At 54.2% G+C, this 16,957-nt stretch overlaps 2 protein-coding genes across 10 annotated transcripts in view, besides 4 other annotated features; one reads left to right on the top strand and one right to left on the bottom strand.

Annotated features, from left to right (window-relative positions):
- The window catches only part of PEF1 (penta-EF-hand domain containing 1), a 15,011-nt gene extending 10,315 nt beyond the window's left edge, over positions 1-4,696 (top strand). For all 7 annotated transcript variants that reach the window (NR_033686.2, NM_012392.4, XM_011541745.2 and 4 more), the window contains 3 exons: positions 1,248-1,403; positions 1,924-2,067; positions 3,720-4,696. Coding sequence is in view for 6 of the 7 variants with exons in the window: in NM_012392.4 (NP_036524.1) it covers positions 1,248-1,403; positions 1,924-2,067; positions 3,720-3,949 (530 nt within the window). In the remaining variant the exon portion in view is untranslated. The remainder of the gene's footprint in view (positions 1-1,247; positions 1,404-1,923; positions 2,068-3,719) is intronic.
- HCRTR1 (hypocretin receptor 1) lies at positions 70-16,873 on the bottom strand. Of its 3 annotated transcripts, XM_024446605.2 has the most exons (11): positions 16,681-16,873; positions 16,436-16,537; positions 15,746-15,806; positions 15,171-15,511; positions 14,852-15,030; positions 13,476-13,719; positions 12,970-13,085; positions 10,813-11,039; positions 9,444-9,565; positions 6,683-7,772; positions 4,654-6,578 (listed from the first exon to the last, which is right to left on the bottom strand). In XM_024446605.2, exons 4-10 carry the CDS (start codon positions 15,367-15,369, stop codon positions 7,582-7,584), a joined length of 1,278 nt encoding a protein of 425 aa, XP_024302373.1. In that variant the 5' UTR covers positions 15,370-15,511; positions 15,746-15,806; positions 16,436-16,537; positions 16,681-16,873; the 3' UTR covers positions 4,654-6,578; positions 6,683-7,581. The 3 variants fall into 3 exon arrangements, with proteins under 3 accessions (XP_016856596.1, XP_024302373.1, NP_001516.2); NM_001525.3 differs by lacking the exons at positions 4,654-6,578; positions 16,436-16,537 and having other exon boundaries at positions 6,949-7,772; XM_017001107.2 differs by lacking the exons at positions 4,654-6,578; positions 6,683-7,772; positions 16,436-16,537; positions 16,681-16,873 and adding an exon at positions 70-2,126 and having other exon boundaries at positions 15,171-16,093.
- Positions 8,698-9,198: an enhancer, noted in NCBI's record as "H3K4me1 hESC enhancer chr1:32090965-32091465 (GRCh37/hg19 assembly coordinates)". NCBI's record gives its function as "activates a minimal SCP1, AML or CMV promoter by ChIP-STARR-seq in naive H9 embryonic stem cells {active_cell/tissue: H9 hESC(naive)}" and the evidence as "EXISTENCE:reporter gene assay evidence [ECO:0000049][PMID:30033119]".
- Positions 9,199-9,699: an enhancer, noted in NCBI's record as "H3K4me1 hESC enhancer chr1:32090464-32090964 (GRCh37/hg19 assembly coordinates)". NCBI's record gives its function as "activates a minimal SCP1, AML or CMV promoter by ChIP-STARR-seq in naive H9 embryonic stem cells {active_cell/tissue: H9 hESC(naive)}" and the evidence as "EXISTENCE:reporter gene assay evidence [ECO:0000049][PMID:30033119]".
- Positions 9,884-10,033: an enhancer, noted in NCBI's record as "active region_646". NCBI's record gives its function as "activates an Ori minimal core promoter by ATAC-STARR-seq in GM12878 lymphoblastoid cells {active_cell/tissue: GM12878}" and the evidence as "EXISTENCE:reporter gene assay evidence [ECO:0000049][PMID:35858748]".
- Positions 16,268-16,957: an enhancer, noted in NCBI's record as "H3K4me1 hESC enhancer chr1:32083206-32083895 (GRCh37/hg19 assembly coordinates)". NCBI's record gives its function as "activates a minimal SCP1, AML or CMV promoter by ChIP-STARR-seq in primed H9 embryonic stem cells {active_cell/tissue: H9 hESC(primed)}" and the evidence as "EXISTENCE:reporter gene assay evidence [ECO:0000049][PMID:30033119]".

The raw sequence follows: 16,957 nt of genomic DNA, 5'->3' as shown, positions 1-16,957 counted from the left end.
TAGCCTACCATGGGGAGAAACTCAGTTTAAATATCCGTTTCTCTGTGAAAATATCTCAGAAGACACACATTCCAGGCTCTTTGCTGAGGATTTTATTTTGCTGTTATCTCATTTAATCATCACAACAATTCTGGGGAAATGGGTTCATTTTAGAAATGTGAAAATCATTACTCAGAAAATTGTACATTTTGCCTAAAGTCACACAAGCTAGTAAGGATCAGATCCAGGGTTTGAATCCAGGTCTGCTTTGATTCCAAAGCCTGAGCCCTTCTATACAAACTACACAGTTCAAACATGTCACAGAATCTCTCCTGCCCTGGGGCTGTGGCCCTTGCTCCCCTATGACACCGATGTTTTAGGAAGATGGCTAGAACCTGCCCGGATTTTTCCAAGGAAGTCAGACTAATCCCTAAGTCAGGCATACCTTTTTCCCTCTGTCCTTACTGGGCTTTGGTACTAGGCAGTGGTTTCTGTCCTCCACAACTGCCCATGGCTGTCTTTGTGTGAAGGGACCCCGATTGTGGCCAGTTAACTCAGTGTCCTAAGGTAGACAGACTTACCAGCTTCTACACTGTTTTTTTTGGGTTTTTTTGTTTTTTTTTTTTTGAGATGGAGTTTCGCTTTTGTTGCCCAGGCTGGAGTGCAATGGCGTGATCTTGGCTCACCACAACCTCCACCTCCCGGGTTCAAGCGATTCTCCTGCTTCAGCCTCCCCAGTAGCTGGGATTACAGGCATGTGCCACCATGCCCGGCTAATTTTCTATTTTTAGTAGAGACGGGGTTTCTCCATGTTGGTCAAGCTGGTCTCAAACTCCCGACCTCAGGTGATCCGCCTGCCTCGGCTTCCCAAAGTGCTGGGATTACAGTCGTGAGCCACTGTGCCTGGCCACTTCTACACTTTTATCTACCACCCATTCCCCCATCTCGCAGTTTACCTTTTCCAGAGAATTCTTGAAATGCTACAGGGGTACAGGTCCCCGTTCCTTAAAAACATAAAATCAATTAAGAGTAGTGTCTGGAACACTATACGAGAACTCCAGAGGACTCATGGAATAGAAATCAACTGCAAATACTCATGAATCTTCACTGAAGGTCCTCTTCCATCAGAGTAAGAATGTCAGCTTGATGGAAGACAGGGAAGGTGAATTTGTGAAGCTTCGTGTGTAGGAGAAACCTGTAGCCAGGAAGTTACTGAGGCTGGCCCTTCCTGGCATTTCTGTTGATGGCCTTCACACCCCTTCCTCCAGGTGGCGCCCCTCCCAATGTGGATCCTGAGGCCTACTCCTGGTTCCAGTCGGTGGACTCAGATCACAGTGGCTATATCTCCATGAAGGAGCTAAAGCAGGCCCTGGTCAACTGCAATTGGTCTTCATTCAATGATGAGACCTGCCTCATGATGATAAGTGAGTCTCCGCCTTGCCCTTGGGCCTGAGCTGGGGCAGAGCCACCTGATAGTGGACAGTAGGTGGGTAGGTGGGTGGGTGGACATTCTGAAGAGAAATTCATTGACCAGGGAGGACTGTGGGGAGGAAGCTAGGTTCAGGGTGAGATCCCCTAGACTGAGAGCTCTTTTCCTGAGATCTTTCTTAAGTTCTAGACCCTGCCTAGTTACAGGTTAACTTAGTTTCCTCTTCTGTAGAATGGTACTCCCTCCCCTGTAGGAAACAGCAGGGAGGGGTCAGGTGCCAAGCCTGCAGAGAAAATGCAGTTCTGGATGGGGTGGGGCTAAAGGTGTCCAGAGTAGGAGGACGGTGCAACGCTTGATGTGGGTGTCTCAGGTGCAGGCATCTGGGCCTCAGGGCTTGGTTCTGTGAAGTCGCCTACTCCAGCCTGGAGAGAAGGGCTGCCTCAATGGGTCCTGAGGGGGACCCTTGGCCTTCAGTCTTGAAGCCTTCCTCCCCTCCTTTCCCTCCTCACCTTCAGACATGTTTGACAAGACCAAGTCAGGCCGCATCGATGTCTACGGCTTCTCAGCCCTGTGGAAATTCATCCAGCAGTGGAAGAACCTCTTCCAGCAGTATGACCGGGACCGCTCGGGCTCCATTAGCTACACAGAGCTGCAGCAAGGTGCGGGTCATGGCCGGGGCACGATGGGCAGGACAGAGCTAGACTCTTCTCTTTACACCCTAAGATACAACAAAGGGGTTTCCTCTTGTTACCGAATGTCCACCTGCACTACAAAATGCTGTTCTCAGTGCAGGCCTGCATCCCTCACCCCTTCTTTGACCCAGCTGGGGCACTGAGCCAAGAGCCAGGGCAAGGAAACACCTGGGTCCAGAATCAGGGCTGGACCCTGGAGTGCTGGGTGAGACGGCCCCAGCCACAGGGAGCCTTAAGGATGGAAACTTGGCACCTTAAGGACTATGAGACCAGTGTGTGTGGCTTGGGTGACTCCTTTCTCTCCAGTTTCTAGCATGTAGAATGGAAAGAGCCCTGAACAGGGCTCAGAAAGATGGGTCTGTTGCCACCTCTGCTAGTGGACAGTTTCTTTCCCAACTTTTGGGACCCTGAGCACTCTAAAAGTTGCAGTTGGGGAAGATGACCTGAGGCCACAGCCCCAGGTCTGGTTCCAAACTGACTGTGTAAGGCAGAAGGCCACAGTTTGGGCTCAGGCAGGTTAGTAAGAGGTTGGGGGAGGACCCAAGAGGGAGCTTTGCCACCCAGGAGGGAGAAAGGGCTCCCCAGAGAGTCTAGTCCTTTGCCCAGGCTGTGGATTTCATTCAGACTAAGGAGGTCTGTGGGCAGGAGTGAGTGCACCACATCTGCCCCCAGTAAAAGGGAGGGGAGATGACCTATAGTAATCACCTACTCTTGCCAGCTTTTGTCGTGGATATTAGTAAGGGTGATATTAACCACAACAAAACGTATTTACTGAATGCTTGCTATTTTTAATAGGCTTATGTAATTCATTCTTCCCATGTGCTAGGTACTATTTATAATTCCACACCCTTCAATGAAGAATCCCTTATAATCTCCCTTTTACCGGTGAGAAAACTGAGGTTTAGTGTAGGTAACCTGCCCAAGGGCCCGCATAACAAATGGAGAGCTGAGGTTTTAGCCTGGCCTGGTAAGTTCTGAACAGAGGAAGGAAGGAAGCATCCCAGTGAAGAGACAGGATGCTCCAAGAGACCTTGGAGTGACAGTGACTTTATTAAAATAGCATTTACCAAGTGCTTTTTCTGTGCCAGTCACTGTGCTAAGTGCTTTACATGATCACCCGTTTTAATCCTTACTAGAACCTACAAGTTAAGTATTATCCCCATTTTAGAGATGATAAGATAGGGATAGTGAGGCTAAGCAACTTGCCCAGTGGCTGACTCCAGAGCAGGTCCTCATACCTCTGCTGTACTGCCTCTGATGTCTGCCCCAGGCAAGGTGGTCCTGGGAGCTCAGGCTTCCTTTTGGAATGCAAACGAATCAGAGATGATTGCGGATAGTCCGTTGTCGTCTCTGCAATCCCCTGAGCCTCAGTTGAAGAGACAATAATGGAGATTTGGAGAAAGAGGGATGAGGGCCTTCCACCTAAGGGGAGCATCCAGACACGGTCCCTGTTGTGTTTCTGACATCTTAGACAGACCCTTGGGATTTCTCTACCCTCTTTGTGCTTCTGTGCCCATCCTCTCGAAGTTCCTTGAACTGTTGTGATCCAGTATTCCTGATTGATGGAGGTGCTCATGGCAGGTTTTTGTGTGTCTGGTCTGTGTGCCCCTCTTCTCCAGCTCTGTCCCAAATGGGCTACAACCTGAGCCCCCAGTTCACCCAGCTTCTGGTCTCCCGCTACTGCCCACGCTCTGCCAATCCTGCCATGCAGCTTGACCGCTTCATCCAGGTGTGCACCCAGCTGCAGGTGCTGACAGAGGCCTTCCGGGAGAAGGACACAGCTGTACAAGGCAACATTCGGCTCAGCTTCGAGGACTTCGTCACCATGACAGCTTCTCGGATGCTATGACCCAACCATCTGTGGAGAGTGGAGTGCACCAGGGACCTTTCCTGGCTTCTTAGAGTGAGAGAAGTATGTGGACATCTCTTCTTTTCCTGTCCCTCTAGAAGAACATTCTCCCTTGCTTGATGCAACACTGTTCCAAAAGAGGGTGGAGAGTCCTGCATCATAGCCACCAAATAGTGAGGACCGGGGCTGAGGCCACACAGATAGGGGCCTGATGGAGGAGAGGATAGAAGTTGAATGTCCTGATGGCCATGAGCAGTTGAGTGGCACAGCCTGGCACCAGGAGCAGGTCCTTGTAATGGAGTTAGTGTCCAGTCAGCTGAGCTCCACCCTGATGCCAGTGGTGAGTGTTCATCGGCCTGTTACCGTTAGTACCTGTGTTCCCTCACCAGGCCATCCTGTCAAACGAGCCCATTTTCTCCAAAGTGGAATCTGACCAAGCATGAGAGAGATCTGTCTATGGGACCAGTGGCTTGGATTCTGCCACACCCATAAATCCTTGTGTGTTAACTTCTAGCTGCCTGGGGCTGGCCCTGCTCAGACAAATCTGCTCCCTGGGCATCTTTGGCCAGGCTTCTGCCCTCTGCAGCTGGGACCCCTCACTTGCCTGCCATGCTCTGCTCGGCTTCAGTCTCCAGGAGACAGTGGTCACCTCTCCCTGCCAATACTTTTTTTAATTTGCATTTTTTTTCATTTGGGGCCAAAAGTCCAGTGAAATTGTAAGCTTCAATAAAAGGATGAAACTCTGGAGTTCCATGTTTTCCACCATGATTTCTCAGCTACAGGTCCATCCACTCATCCTTTCAGTGACTATTTAAGTACATCCTATACACCACGCCATGCAGAAAGCAGCAGCTTGGGGGGACATTGCCTATGTGGGGCTCCTCTCCACTGCCAGAGGGAAGTTGAAGTATAGGGTAGCCAGCTGAGGGGCCTGCCGGGTTCAGTTCAGTATGGCCTGAAGGTCTATTTAGGAAGCTATTTCATAGCAGTTTTAGGGCTGGCATTCTGGGTTGAAAGCAGCTACCTCAAACTTCATAGCCTGGCCTTTTCTATTTTCTCAGGCCCTAGTTTTATCTTCCAGACAAACTCCATTTATTAAGTCATAACGTTCTCCCCACTTTTATTAAGCACAGACATCTGTACTTGCAAGTCAGATCTTTAGATCAGCATAATACCCAGTCTACACCGAGTGTCTCTAATGAGCTGACCACATTTCAATCAAAAGCCAAAGACACCAGACATTCTAGTTTGCCAGGGGGCTTTATTCTGGGTAATGGTGATTATCTTTTGGCTTTTTGAGATAAAGAGCTCTGAGGCCCTGTGCAGGGCTCTCCTCCCTGCAGTGGGTAGTTGGAAGTAACTATGACTGTTTTGCAGGTCAGTGAGGCCCAGCAGTGTGTCGGGCTTAGCCAGGTCAGTTGCATTCTCCTCTGGGCTGCTGTAGTGCTAGAATCCCCGCATTAGATGGAATCCAGTTCCCAGAGGCCAGCCCCCATCCAGAGCTAAAATTCCGTTCATAGTCCCCATGTGAGTCTGGCCTCTGCTTCGCCAAAGGCAAAGAACTCAGTGCCTTTCAAGGCAGCCCATTTCCTCCATGACTGGCAGAAACATCTTCCTTATGTGGATTCTAAATCCTGCCATCTTGAAGACACCACCATTTGCTGTGGTTTTCTCTGTGGGCCACCCAGGACATACATCACCCTTTATGCATGCCAACCCTCTATATAGTGGAGCCTACCCTATATACCACATTTTCCCCAAGTCCTCTCTTCCCTGGGCCAGATAGCCCTGGGCTCTTGAGCAGTCCCTCGCTGAGCATCTCTGCCCTTGGCATCCTGGTCACCTCCCCTGAATTTTCTTCAGTTTATCTGAGTCCCCCAGAGTGGAGGGCTGAGGCCCCCCATGGTGCTGGGTTCAGCCAGCAGAGCGTGCAGCCATTAGGAGCAGCGCCTGTTGTTTCTTTGTTCCCACTGAACCAAGTGTCTGCTGAAACCCGATGGTGCCAATTGTAGTCTCTCACCTTTGTGCTCAGCTGAGGCTGAGGAGCCCAAGACCTGGATTGATCTTGTAAGCACGGTTGGTTCTGAGCTTGGGGGCCAGCCCTCATACCTCATTCTGCACACTCACCTCCAAGCCTACCTATGCACTGTGCCAACCGCTTTGGATCCTAAGGCCAGTGGGAGTGTGGAATGGGCAGGAGAGCCCATCCTCCTGGCAGCAGCTAGAGCTCTGCCCCGTCCACAGAGAGCTGGGCTGGTAAGTCGTGTGGAGAGCAGGTGGCATACTTAGACCACACATTCCACCTGCTCTGGGTAAAGCGGGGTGCTTAGGAGGAGCAGTGCTTCAACACTCCTGGGCTGGGCCCCTGGCAGCACCAGGGCTCTGCCCACGTTCTTGACGGTTGAGGTCAGAGGGAGCCCACAGCTCTATTAATCAAGTTAAGCAGACCTGGTGGTATGCATAGCAGAGCTGGCCCCTGCCAGATGTCCCTGTTCCTCTCAGCAGAGTAGCACTTCAGGCTGCACTCCACGTCCTTCTCTGGCAACAAGGCTCAGGGCCTTTGGCAGCCTTAAAATCTCGGTGGCAGACGGAGCATGTCTGGCCAAGTCTGTGGCTTTCTCTTTTTATCCTGTGAGTTCATAGAAAATAGGCGCAAGCCTTGGTTTCCAAGAAGATGAAGATAACAGTAAATCAGCCTGTTAACCCGCTATCTGCCCACCCGGCCCCCCTTACCTTCCCCAGGCCACTGGGCCTGTGAGCAGACAGTTGTGTCGAGGGGTGAGGTCCCGGCGTCACAGGATTGGCACCGCATGAGGAGGCAGCACCACGTGTGCCGAGGCCTGGCTGAGTCCATCTGGGATCCCGTGTGGTGGGGGTGGGAGGTCAGCAGATAAGAGCATTCTAGTGCCTTCTTGTCTTCCCTCCCCCCAGCTTCCCCACCTTCTTCTGCTCCTAACCTAAGCAGCACAGATTTTGTGCAATGACAAGGAAAGGGAACATTCAGTGCCAGGCTTTTAATTACAGTTGCTTCGGGCTGCTGGCCTCTCTGCCAAGTGGCCATGGAGAGTGTTTTATCACACCACAAAGCCAACAAGGTCGGGTCTGTGGTGTGTGCCCTTGGCACCTGGTTAGGGTGGGGCTGTGCTCGTGGCCCGCTGGAGAAAGGCTGGGCCCAGATTAGTTCACACAGGCATCAGAACAGCTGGCCAAGTGCAGCCCTGGGCTTCAGGGAGCCATGGAACAAGATGGAAATGCCTGTTGGGACCTTTAGAGCAGACTCCAGGGAAGGCCTGTAATTGGGTAGGAAAGGGGTCTTTAGGAGGATGACCAAGCTCTGGAAGGAGGATGGGGACAGATTATACTGTGGGGTATGGCCAAATGAGAGAAGTACAACAATAATCATGTCCACAACACTTCACAGTTTACAAGGAGCTTTCCACTTGCTTCAGCATGCTTAATCCTCACATCAACCCTGCTTAGGGGACACAAGCTCAGACAGAGGAAGTGACTTATCCAGAGTCACACAGGCAGAAACCCAGGACTGAAGCCACAGCCTTTCACCACATCCAGCTGTCTTTCCATGAGGGGTAGGGGCAGATCCCCCGAGCCGGAGCCTCCAGGGCAGCCCTCGCTCAGGGCAGCACTGTGGTGACGCTGGTGAGCACCACATGCTCAGAGATTTTGGAGATGGAGCATCGGCTCTGCAAGGACAAGGACTTGTGGCTGGCAGAGGAGCGGGGACTAGGGGCCTTCAGAGAGCCGCAGGGACCCAGGCCAGGCAGGCAGCAGGAGAAGGCAGCCTTAAACTGCTCCCGGAATTTGCCTTGGTTGGGAGACAAAAGACACAGCCATAAGGAGACAGATGCAGCAGGAAGGGGCCTTGAGCCCAGGGACACCCACGCAGCTCCAGCCAAGCTGCCTATGAGGGGGCGGGGAGGGAGGGAGGGATAGAGCTGGGAGGGAGAGCCCTGAGGCAACCTCGGCACCGCCAGAGAGAGAGGACAGAAGCCCTGGAGCGGGTTCCCAAGGAGAGACGCAATTGCCATCTGATTCCTTGACTGTGCTCTGGCTCGGAGGCTGACTCAAAACGTGGTGTCTGGCTCGGGGGCCTCAGGTCACCTCTGCTCTCCTTGGTGTGTACGTGGGGGTCACTATCTGTTGCGAGGCTTGTGTCCTCTCTGCCCTTTGATGATGAAAATGACGGCAGCAGCAGCCCTTTTGCATTTGGCAGTCACGCTGTGCTGGGCGCCTCAGCCTCTGTCCGCCAGAGCATCCCAGCACCCTGAAAGGCTGGAGTCCTTTATCCTCACTTCACAGATGAGATGCACAGAGGTACAGTGGCTTGCCCAAGTCCACCCAGCCAGAAGCTGAACCCAATTCTAATTCCAAAGCCCTTCTCAAGGGGGAGGAGGGAAGGAGGGACCACCACACCACATTATTCAGCCCAAGTATACCAGGGAAACAGATTTTGTCAGGCTGAAGCCCCTTTGATCATGTGTCATTAGGCTGCCAGCCTCTCTGGTGCCCAGCACAGGGTCAAGCACATAGTAGGTGCTCAGTAAACATAGGCCAAACAAAGGCATATGTGTCAGTAAGTCTGTCTGCCCTCCCCTCCCCACACAGCTCATCATCTATTCTCTTTTCTGACCTGGAAACCCGCAGCCAGCCTTGTTGAGTAATTCTTGAGTCTCAATGAGGGTTATACTATTGACTCCTGATCCTTTCTTTAACCTTTTAATAGTTCCTCAAAGATTATTTCTGTCCAGGCTTCAACAGTCATCTGGACCTGTTCTTTAGAAGTCTATTCCCAAAGTCAGAGGGCTGGTGAGTCAGACTTCTGCTGAGCTCAGCCTCAGAGCCATTACCACCCTGAGACTGGGAGGTAGAGGGAGGGGGTGGGCACTGTGGGACAGCAGAGAGGAGAGGCCTGGAGTGGGAGTGGGGGTGGCAGGGGAGGAAGACTTCCAGAGGGGACAACCCCTGAGATTCCGGTCACTCTGCCAGTGTGTCTAGCTGAGCCGGCGAAGCCCTTCCCTGGGCCTGGCTTGTCTCTCAGAGTGACCCTACTTTAGCCCTGACACCTGGACTGTGCAATCCTTCCTCGGGCAGGGGCTCCAGGGCCCTCCTCCCACAGGTCTGACTCCCTCCGGGGAGGATGGACTCCTCTGCCTGAGCTGATTGGAGGTCTTGCTGTGCCTGCACCCAGGGTGGGAGTTGGGGGTGAGCTGGCCTAGCCCCTGCCCTTCCACTCACTCACTGGTCTGCAGAATCTGCAAAACTGGATCCTGGGTGCCAGCCACTGTAGGGAGTGTGGCCCGTCTCCCACTCAGGCCAGGGCCGCTTGGGGTGGGTCCTCCCAGAGCAGGATCACTGTGCCCACAGCAGGTACATCCTCACCCACCATCCTTTATTTGGGCCCTGGCTTGGGGATGGGGAGACTTGTCATGTGGACTGTTGGCCACCCTCAGTCATTTTGCATCCCCAGCCTGCTCACCACTGAGGAAGTTGTAGATGATGGGGTTGGCAGCGCTGTTGGCGTACACCAGCCAGTGGGAGAAGGTGAAGCAGGCGTAGACAGCTTCGCGGTCACTGGCTTGGCGGAACATCCCGAACACCCTAGGCCCAGGGTGGAGGAGCGTCAGAAATGGGGTAGCTGCGTATGCATGTACTGGGGGAGTGCTGCTCACAGAACCTGAGCTGTAAAGTGCAAGAGTTCCTACTGCCCACTTCTGTCCACGTTTCCTGGCCTTCTGTACCTGAGGTCTTGGCCAGGGTTTGGGGTTCTCAAGCATGGAGGGTATCAAGCACCGTGATGGGCATCTCTAGCCTCCTGGCCATCGGATCCCCTGGGGCTTCCCATCCACTTTCTCATCCATCCTCACAGCAACATGATGAATCATAGACATCATCCATTTTTCCATTAAGGAAACTGAGGCTCAGAGAAGTAAAGTGACATGCCGAAGATCACACAACCAGGAAGTGGCCAAGCACAATCTCAAAGTGAAACTGTCTTCTGTCCAATAGCCTGCATTCTCTCCCCAGCGCCCTGCGACCCTCTTTGGCTGTCCCTACAGACACGTGCATGGTTAGCTCTCTCACTTCCTTCAAGTCTCTGCTCAAATGTCATTTCCTTGGAAAGGCTTTTTTTTTTTTTTTTTTTTTTTGAGACAGCTGTGTCACCCAGGCTGGAGTGCAGTGGTGCAATCATGGTTCGCTGCAGCCTCAACCTCCTGGGCTCAAGCTATTCTTCCACCTCAGTCTGTGTAGCTAGAACTACAGGCACATGCCACCATGGCTGGCTAATTTTTTGAATTTTAGTAGAGACGAAGTCTCATTATGTTGCCCGGGCTGATCTTGAACTCCTGGCCTCAAGCGATCCTCCCTCCTTGGCCTCCCAACGTGTTGGGATTACAGATGTGAGCCACTGCACCCGGCCCCCTGCTTTTTTTAAACCATTGTATCTAAAGCAAAAGCAAAAACCCACCAACCCTTATCATTGTCACTCTCTGTCCTATTTTATTTTTCTTCCCAGCAGTTATCACTGCCTGACATTATAATATACATTGATTCTTCTATTTACTTCCCTTCTCTCCTGCTAGAATGCAGCCTCCATGAAGGCAGGGACTTTGTCTGTCTTATGCACTTGTTCATTGTATTTCCAGCCCCCTAAAATGTGATGATTAAGTGAATGAATGCGTGAATTTTCACGATAGCCCTAGGAGATGGAGGCTCAGAGAAGAGAAATGGCCTGCCCAAGATCACATAGTGGAGAAGGGGTGGAGCCAGGTCTTTCTCCCAAGCAAGGAGAGCTCCTTCCCCAACCTCAAACTTCTCCCCACCCCAACCATACCCCGTGCTCTCACCTCTTAAGGACATTGAGGACGCTGATGGGCAGGTAGCAGAGGGCGAAGACCAGCAGCACCACCATCAGCATCTTGGCTGTCTTCCTCCGTGCACGCATCTGCTTCACTTCAGCCAGGAAGGCGCGGGCCCGGGGCTGGGGCTCTCCACTCAGGCCCTGCTCCAGGTCCCCCAGCTGGTCTGAGGGGCGCTTCCAGTTCCGCACCAGTGCTGAGGTGGTGCCGGGGATCTGTCCAGCACACATAGAGACAGCAGTGGTGGGTACAGCACCTTGGGAGGGTGGTTGCCTTTTGTGGGGCCTACTCCAGGCTGGACCCCGGGCAGGGTGGAGATGGGCAAAAGGATAAAACCCTTGCAAGAGGAAGGAATCTAATGTTTATGATAGACTAACACTCTGGACTTGAGAGTGAACGATAGACTTTCATTTTCTTTTCTTTTCTTTTTTTTTTTTTTTTGAGATGGCATTTCACTCTTGTCACCTAAGCTGGAGTGCAATGGTGCAATCTTGGCTCTCTTCAATCTCGCCTCCCGAGTAGCTGGGATTACAGGTGTGCGCCACCACACCGGGCTAAGTTTTGTATTTTTAGTAGAGATGGGGTTTCACCACGTTGGCCAGGCTGGTCTTGAACTCCTGACCTTAGGTGATCCGCCTGCCTCAGCCTCCCAAAGTGCTGGGAATACAGGTGTGAGCCACTGCGCCCAGCCTAGACTTTCATTTTCCATTAGCTCTTTGTGAAACCCTCTACAACACGCCTTGTGGAAAGATATTATTGGTCCTTAGGTATAGATGAGGCAACTAAGACTCAAAGAGGTGGGGAACCTTGACAAGACCCCAGGCCACATCCTGTCAACTGCCCATCCATCCTCCCTAAATCTCCAACACTATCTTTGAGGGTAGGGGTGGGGGTGAGTTGTGCCTCCCCTGGATCATACCAGACTATGAGGAGGCCTGGGCAAGGGGTGAGCAGGTGGGCAGCATCGAATGGCCTGGGCCAGTGCCCATAAGCCTGGGGTGGTTCTGGGCTCCTGGAGAAGCCTCTCCTGCCACCGGACACTCAAATCACCCACCACAGAGGGGCATGGGGCTGGAGTTCTGGAAACGCGGGTCTAGAGCCAGCTCAGCCATTCGTGAGCTATGTGACCTTAGCCACCTCATTTTCCTTTCTAAGCCTTGCTTTCATATCTGTCAAATGAGGAGGATCGTGCCTGTGTCCTGCTTGGCTGGGGGGTCTGTGGGGAGCAGATGATGAGTGTTGGTGGACTACAGGGCTGGCCAGTCAGGAAGGGTCCTACTGGACTGGGTGCTCCTCCAAGGCAGGACCTGGGTCACAGCCAGTCCGTGTCCCCATCCGCTGCCCGGCATGGCCTGGGTGCAAGCCAGTACTTCCTGTGGAATGTAGGTGACATCCCCAAGTGTGAGAGTCCCTTCCTGAGCCTGGTCATGTTCTGGCCTGCCTTTTCTCACCGCCCAGACGCCAATCCAGGACTCCCACTCGCTAGGCCAAGGGCCTCTGACCACCCCTGCCCCCCAAAAACCTAAGAAACCCACCGTGGGTCAGTCTGTAATGCAGGAAAGAAGACAGGCCCTGGAACCAGAAGGCTCTGCTGCTGTTGAATCTGGCAAGTTGGTTGCCCTTATTTGGCATTTGTGACGTGGGTAATGTTGCTTCTTTTGTTAGATAGTTGTTAAGACATTGGATGCAAAGTGCCTAATTTGGCAAGCACCACGGAGTTGCTATTATTATTGTTGCAGTGGTACTAAACTGAGCAGTGGGAGCTCACAGATCTGGGCTTTAGTTCCTGATCTACTCACTAGCTGAGTGGTTTGGGGGAAGTTATGTTGATCTTCTGGGTCTCGGTTTTCTCATATATTTAATGTGGGTAATATATGGTGGCTAAGAGGATGCAAGATTATCTGGGAGTGGATACTTCAATAAACGCCAACCACTAATAGAAGGACGTGTTACTATTCCATTCCAGGGTAGCCACTGGTGCTTTTGGCCTTGAGTTTGACGTGTCTCTGGGCTTCCCCTCTCTTTGGTTGCAGCCAAGATGGCATGTGCTGATGGCAGAGGACTGCCTACTCAGTTAGACCAGTAGCCCTCCCACCCCCAGCCCACACAGTGACTGGCCTAGCCCCTGCCCAGAGTGGGCCTCACCTGGCGGCCCCAGAGCTTGCGGAATATCTGGAAATAGGCCATGGCCATGAGGCCCAGTGGGGCCAGGTAGGTGACAATAAAGAAGCAACTGTGGTAGATCTTGGGATAGAGGTCATCTGCAGGGGTCAAGAGATGCAGAGTCAGGCCCAATCCGTGAGCCCCACCCTGCCCTGGTTAGCAATGCCACCCTGTCCTGACTACGGCCAAAGCAAGGCCTAGGAGCAGCTGGACCCCATACAGCCACCATGACAGACAGAGACCCTGGAGTTGTCCAACTTGGGTTGTCCCTCCTGGAAGGACATCTACACTAGAGCAGATGTCTACATGAGGGGAGGCACCCACCCTGGGAGTATCCCTGGTAGGAGCCAGTCTAGGGTGTCCCCTAGGGAAATACCTGCTCTGGGATTTCCCACTTTGGAAGGGACCCTGCTAGATGCCTGTCCTAGGGGTACGTGCTCCCAAAGTGCCCACCTGAGGGGATGCCTGCTTGAGGCTTCCACCATTACCTGCCCAGCGTTCATCACAGACTGAGAAGAGCCGTGTGCGGTTGGCTAGCTCAGGCAGCACACTGCTGCATTCCATGACTGCAGCCTGGGGCACCATGATGGCCAGCGACACAGCCCAGATGCCCAGGATGGAGCCACGGGCCCGCCGGGCTGTGCTCTTGAACAATAGTGGGTGGCAGATGGCATACCAGCGGTCCAGGGCGATGAAGCTGAGAGTTAGCACTGCCACTGACACGGACACAGCCTGCCCCACGGGGACACAACGTCGGTCATTTTGGGGGCCACCCAGCGATGTGAGAGTAGGTGAGTGAGGAGGCTGACGGCAGGTGCAGGGCAGTGCAAATCCTGACTCCACCACTTACTGGCTGTGTAAATGTGGGCAAGTCACTCACCCTCTCTGAGCCTCGTCTACAGAATGGGAATATACCATCTACCTGGCAAGATTCTTGTGCGAATAAGTGAAATCATGTACAAACAATGTCCAGCTTTAGACCTGGCACATGGTAGGTGCACCCCTCCGGTGAATAATAACTTGCACCTACGTAACTTACTATGTGCTGGGCACTGTTCTCATCATCCTCATGACAATCCCACAAAGCGCTCTTGCCCCCCTGTTACAGATGAGGAAACTGAGGCACAGAATTCCCTCATCCATCTGTCTTTATGCTCAGGGTCACCAGAGTTAACCAGTTGAGTGGGGAGCCTCAAAATAGTGGGAAATCCAAGAGGCATTTATCTCTGCCATGGAATGCCATCCCTTCCCCAGGCTGTTAGGAAAAAGCCCTCATTCTGGGAGGCAGAGATGAGTCTGGGTCAGAGGTGTGTGGGCATTGCCTCTAGGGGTGCCCCCTGCCCTCTGGGGTGCAGGAAGTGGATCACAGGATACAAACTGAGAGAAGCCTTCCTTCCACCCCACTAACCCCATCCGGACATCCTGGTTTCCACCACTGGGGTCTTTCCTGGCCAGTGCAGGAGGGAGAGGAGACGGCTGTTTCCATCAGGCCCCTCACGTCTGCCCCTTTGGGATTGGGGAGCAGGCCTAGGGTGTCGTGTATGTGTCACTGTGGGCTGTTGCCTCTCTCCTTGACTGTGTGCCTGTGTACCTGGAGGTGACTATACATGTCCACACGTGTCTATGTATATGTCTGTGGCTGTGACCAGGAGGGGATCTCTGTGAGTGTGTGGGGTTGTGTCTGTGTCCTCGAGTGTCTGATCTGGTGGCTTGCCCTTGCTAGCAGCAGAGGATGACACTTCAGGGGTCATGAGCCACTGACCTGTCTGAAAGGCAAGTCTGGGGGTCACTGAGACCTATGCAAGGCCGTGGGTTTTTTACAGGCGTGACAAGGAGTGGTGAGGGGTGCCTGGGCAGAGCTCACCTGTAGATAGGGGATGACCTTGCAGAGGGCATGGCCGAACAGCCAGGACTCAGTGATGTCCACCAGCAGGCTGGCCGGCAGGCAGATAGCAGTCACCAGAACGTCAGCCAGGGACAGGTTGACAATGAAGTAGTTGGTGACTGTCCTCATGTGGTGGTTCCGCCACACGGCCAGGCAGACTGCAGGGTGCAGCGAGGTGAAGCTGGTGGCAGAGCCACACCCATCCTAGTTCTGCCTAATCAGCGAGCCCTCCTCCCACACAACCCCCTTCAATCCCCAGGGAAAGCCGGCAGCACTGCCGGGCAAGCCCTGGACCTACCCAGCGTGTTGCCCACCAGGGCCACGACGAACACAGCCACATAGGCTGCGATGAGGACCCACTCATACTGTTTTGGGTACAGATAATCGCGCCACAGATAGCGGAGAAACTCATCTTCATAGTCTGGAGGCACAGGGGACGGCTCTCTGCTGCCAGGGGGGACCCCCATCTGGGCCCCTGGGGTGGCTGAGGGCTCCATGAGCTCAGGAGCCGCTGCAGCAGAGGGGCATCCTAGGCTCTACAGAGGGAGAGGAGGGAGCTTGGGCCAGCCCTCAGCCCACTCCCTTCAGGGTGCCTGGAGGCTTGCACCCAGGTCTTTTCGGGTCTCAGCCTCAAACTTCCTGAAGGGAGGAAGGAAAGGAGGGAGTGGGAAAAGAGAGAAGGAAGGAAACATTAGGGATTGTGCCAGGCGCTTTGCGTATAAGTTCCCTCTTAATTCTCACAGTCATGAAATTGGTGGAGGAAGACAGACCTGGGTTGCATCCCAATTCCACACCAGTTGCCTTGGGTAGCTTACCTGGCCTCTTTCAGCCTTGGTTTCCCCATCTGTCTAATGGGGTGACAGCCCTACATACCTTACAGGACCACGATGAGGAGTAATGAGCTCCGATGCGTGCCAAGTGCTTCACCAAGAACCTGGTACGAGAAGGTAGTTTCGGGGACGTTTCCGGTTACCATTATTAGGGTACCCTGCTTTGCAGATGAGACCGAAGCTCAGAGAGATTGAGTCTCTTGCTCAAGGTCACAAAGCTCTTAAGCCAGGTCTGTTCGAACCCACCAAACACCGTAGATTTGGGAGGAGAAGCCATCCCGATTGCAAATATTTCTTGAGCCAGTTCAGAGGCTTTAACTTTGGGTTGGGAAAACGGGCCAAGGGAGGTGTTAGAGACCCAAGCCCCACCCGCCATACCTGCCAGACCCTCCGGTGGGCACTCGCGGACACGCACACATACAACACACACACAGTGGGGGTGGTGCGCGGAGGGACTGACGACCCCTTGCGAGCAAGGGGAGCATCCAGGCCCCCTAAGAGGCCCCTTTGGGTCCCCAGGGCCGCGACGCTCCCCGACGGCCGCCAGGAGCCGCTGTTCCGGCGCGCGGGTCGCTCTCCATTCATAAATCCAGCCAGCCCAGCTCCCCGCCCCTCCCCTCCTCCCGCACTCAGCCCCTCCTTCCCCCGGCTGGGCTAGGACGACCCCGGCCAGGTGCCGGAGGGTTGCGGATCCCTGGAGACCCCTGGGGAAGGGGAGGGGACGCCTTCATACCCCACTGAACGCCGGCAGGCCCGCTCCGTCCGCGGGACCTTCCTGCACCTCGGGGGCTGGCGGGGCTCCGGGAAGGCGCGGGGGAGCGAGGGCACTCGGAGCCTGCCTAGAGGAGAGCAGCGCTGGCCGAGGAGCCAGTCTCCCAGCACCCAGGTTACCCCCCGAGACTCTTGGCTCCTCCCATCCCTCGCCGCGGGTCCTTTGGAACCCCCATCCCAGGCCTGGGGGTCCCCCACACCCCGCACCTGTTGGCTCCGGGACCCGGGCGTTCTCGGCTGCTGGTCCCCGGACCTGGCACCGGGGACTTCGCCTTCCTGCGAGGAAGGCCGAGCCTCTAGGGGCCGGGACTGCAGGAGGGGGCCGGGGCAGCCCCCTCCCTAGGCTGCGCTGCCTCGGCTCGCGGGGCTCAGCACGATCCGCGGCAACTGCGCGGGCTGTGGCTCGGCGCGGGCTCCGCCGGGCTGCGCGCTGCGGGGAGGGAGGGCCGGCGGGAGGGGCAGGGCGGGGTGGGAGCCCCCAGAC

Source organism: Homo sapiens, chromosome 1, assembly GCF_000001405.40.
Source record: "Homo sapiens chromosome 1, GRCh38.p14 Primary Assembly".
Classification (NCBI taxonomy): Eukaryota; Metazoa; Chordata; class Mammalia; order Primates; family Hominidae; genus Homo; species Homo sapiens.
Note: the sequence above shows the minus strand (reverse complement) of the source record. Positions and strands in the feature narration are given on the sequence as shown.

Bases quoted from the DNA above. Each gene is read 5' to 3' on its own strand.
- HCRTR1 (XM_024446605.2), bottom strand. From the start codon at position 15,369: ATGGAGCCCTCAGCCACCCCAGGGGCCCAGATGGGGGTCCCCCCTGGC. The intron at 13,720-14,851 runs GTGAGCTCTGCC...CCCGTGGGGCAG, and splicing joins AGGTCATCCCCTATCTACAG to GCTGTGTCCGTGTCAGTGGC. The intron at 11,040-12,969 runs GTGAGGCCCACT...TGTGCTGGACAG, and splicing joins GCAAGCTCTGGGGCCGCCAG to ATCCCCGGCACCACCTCAGC.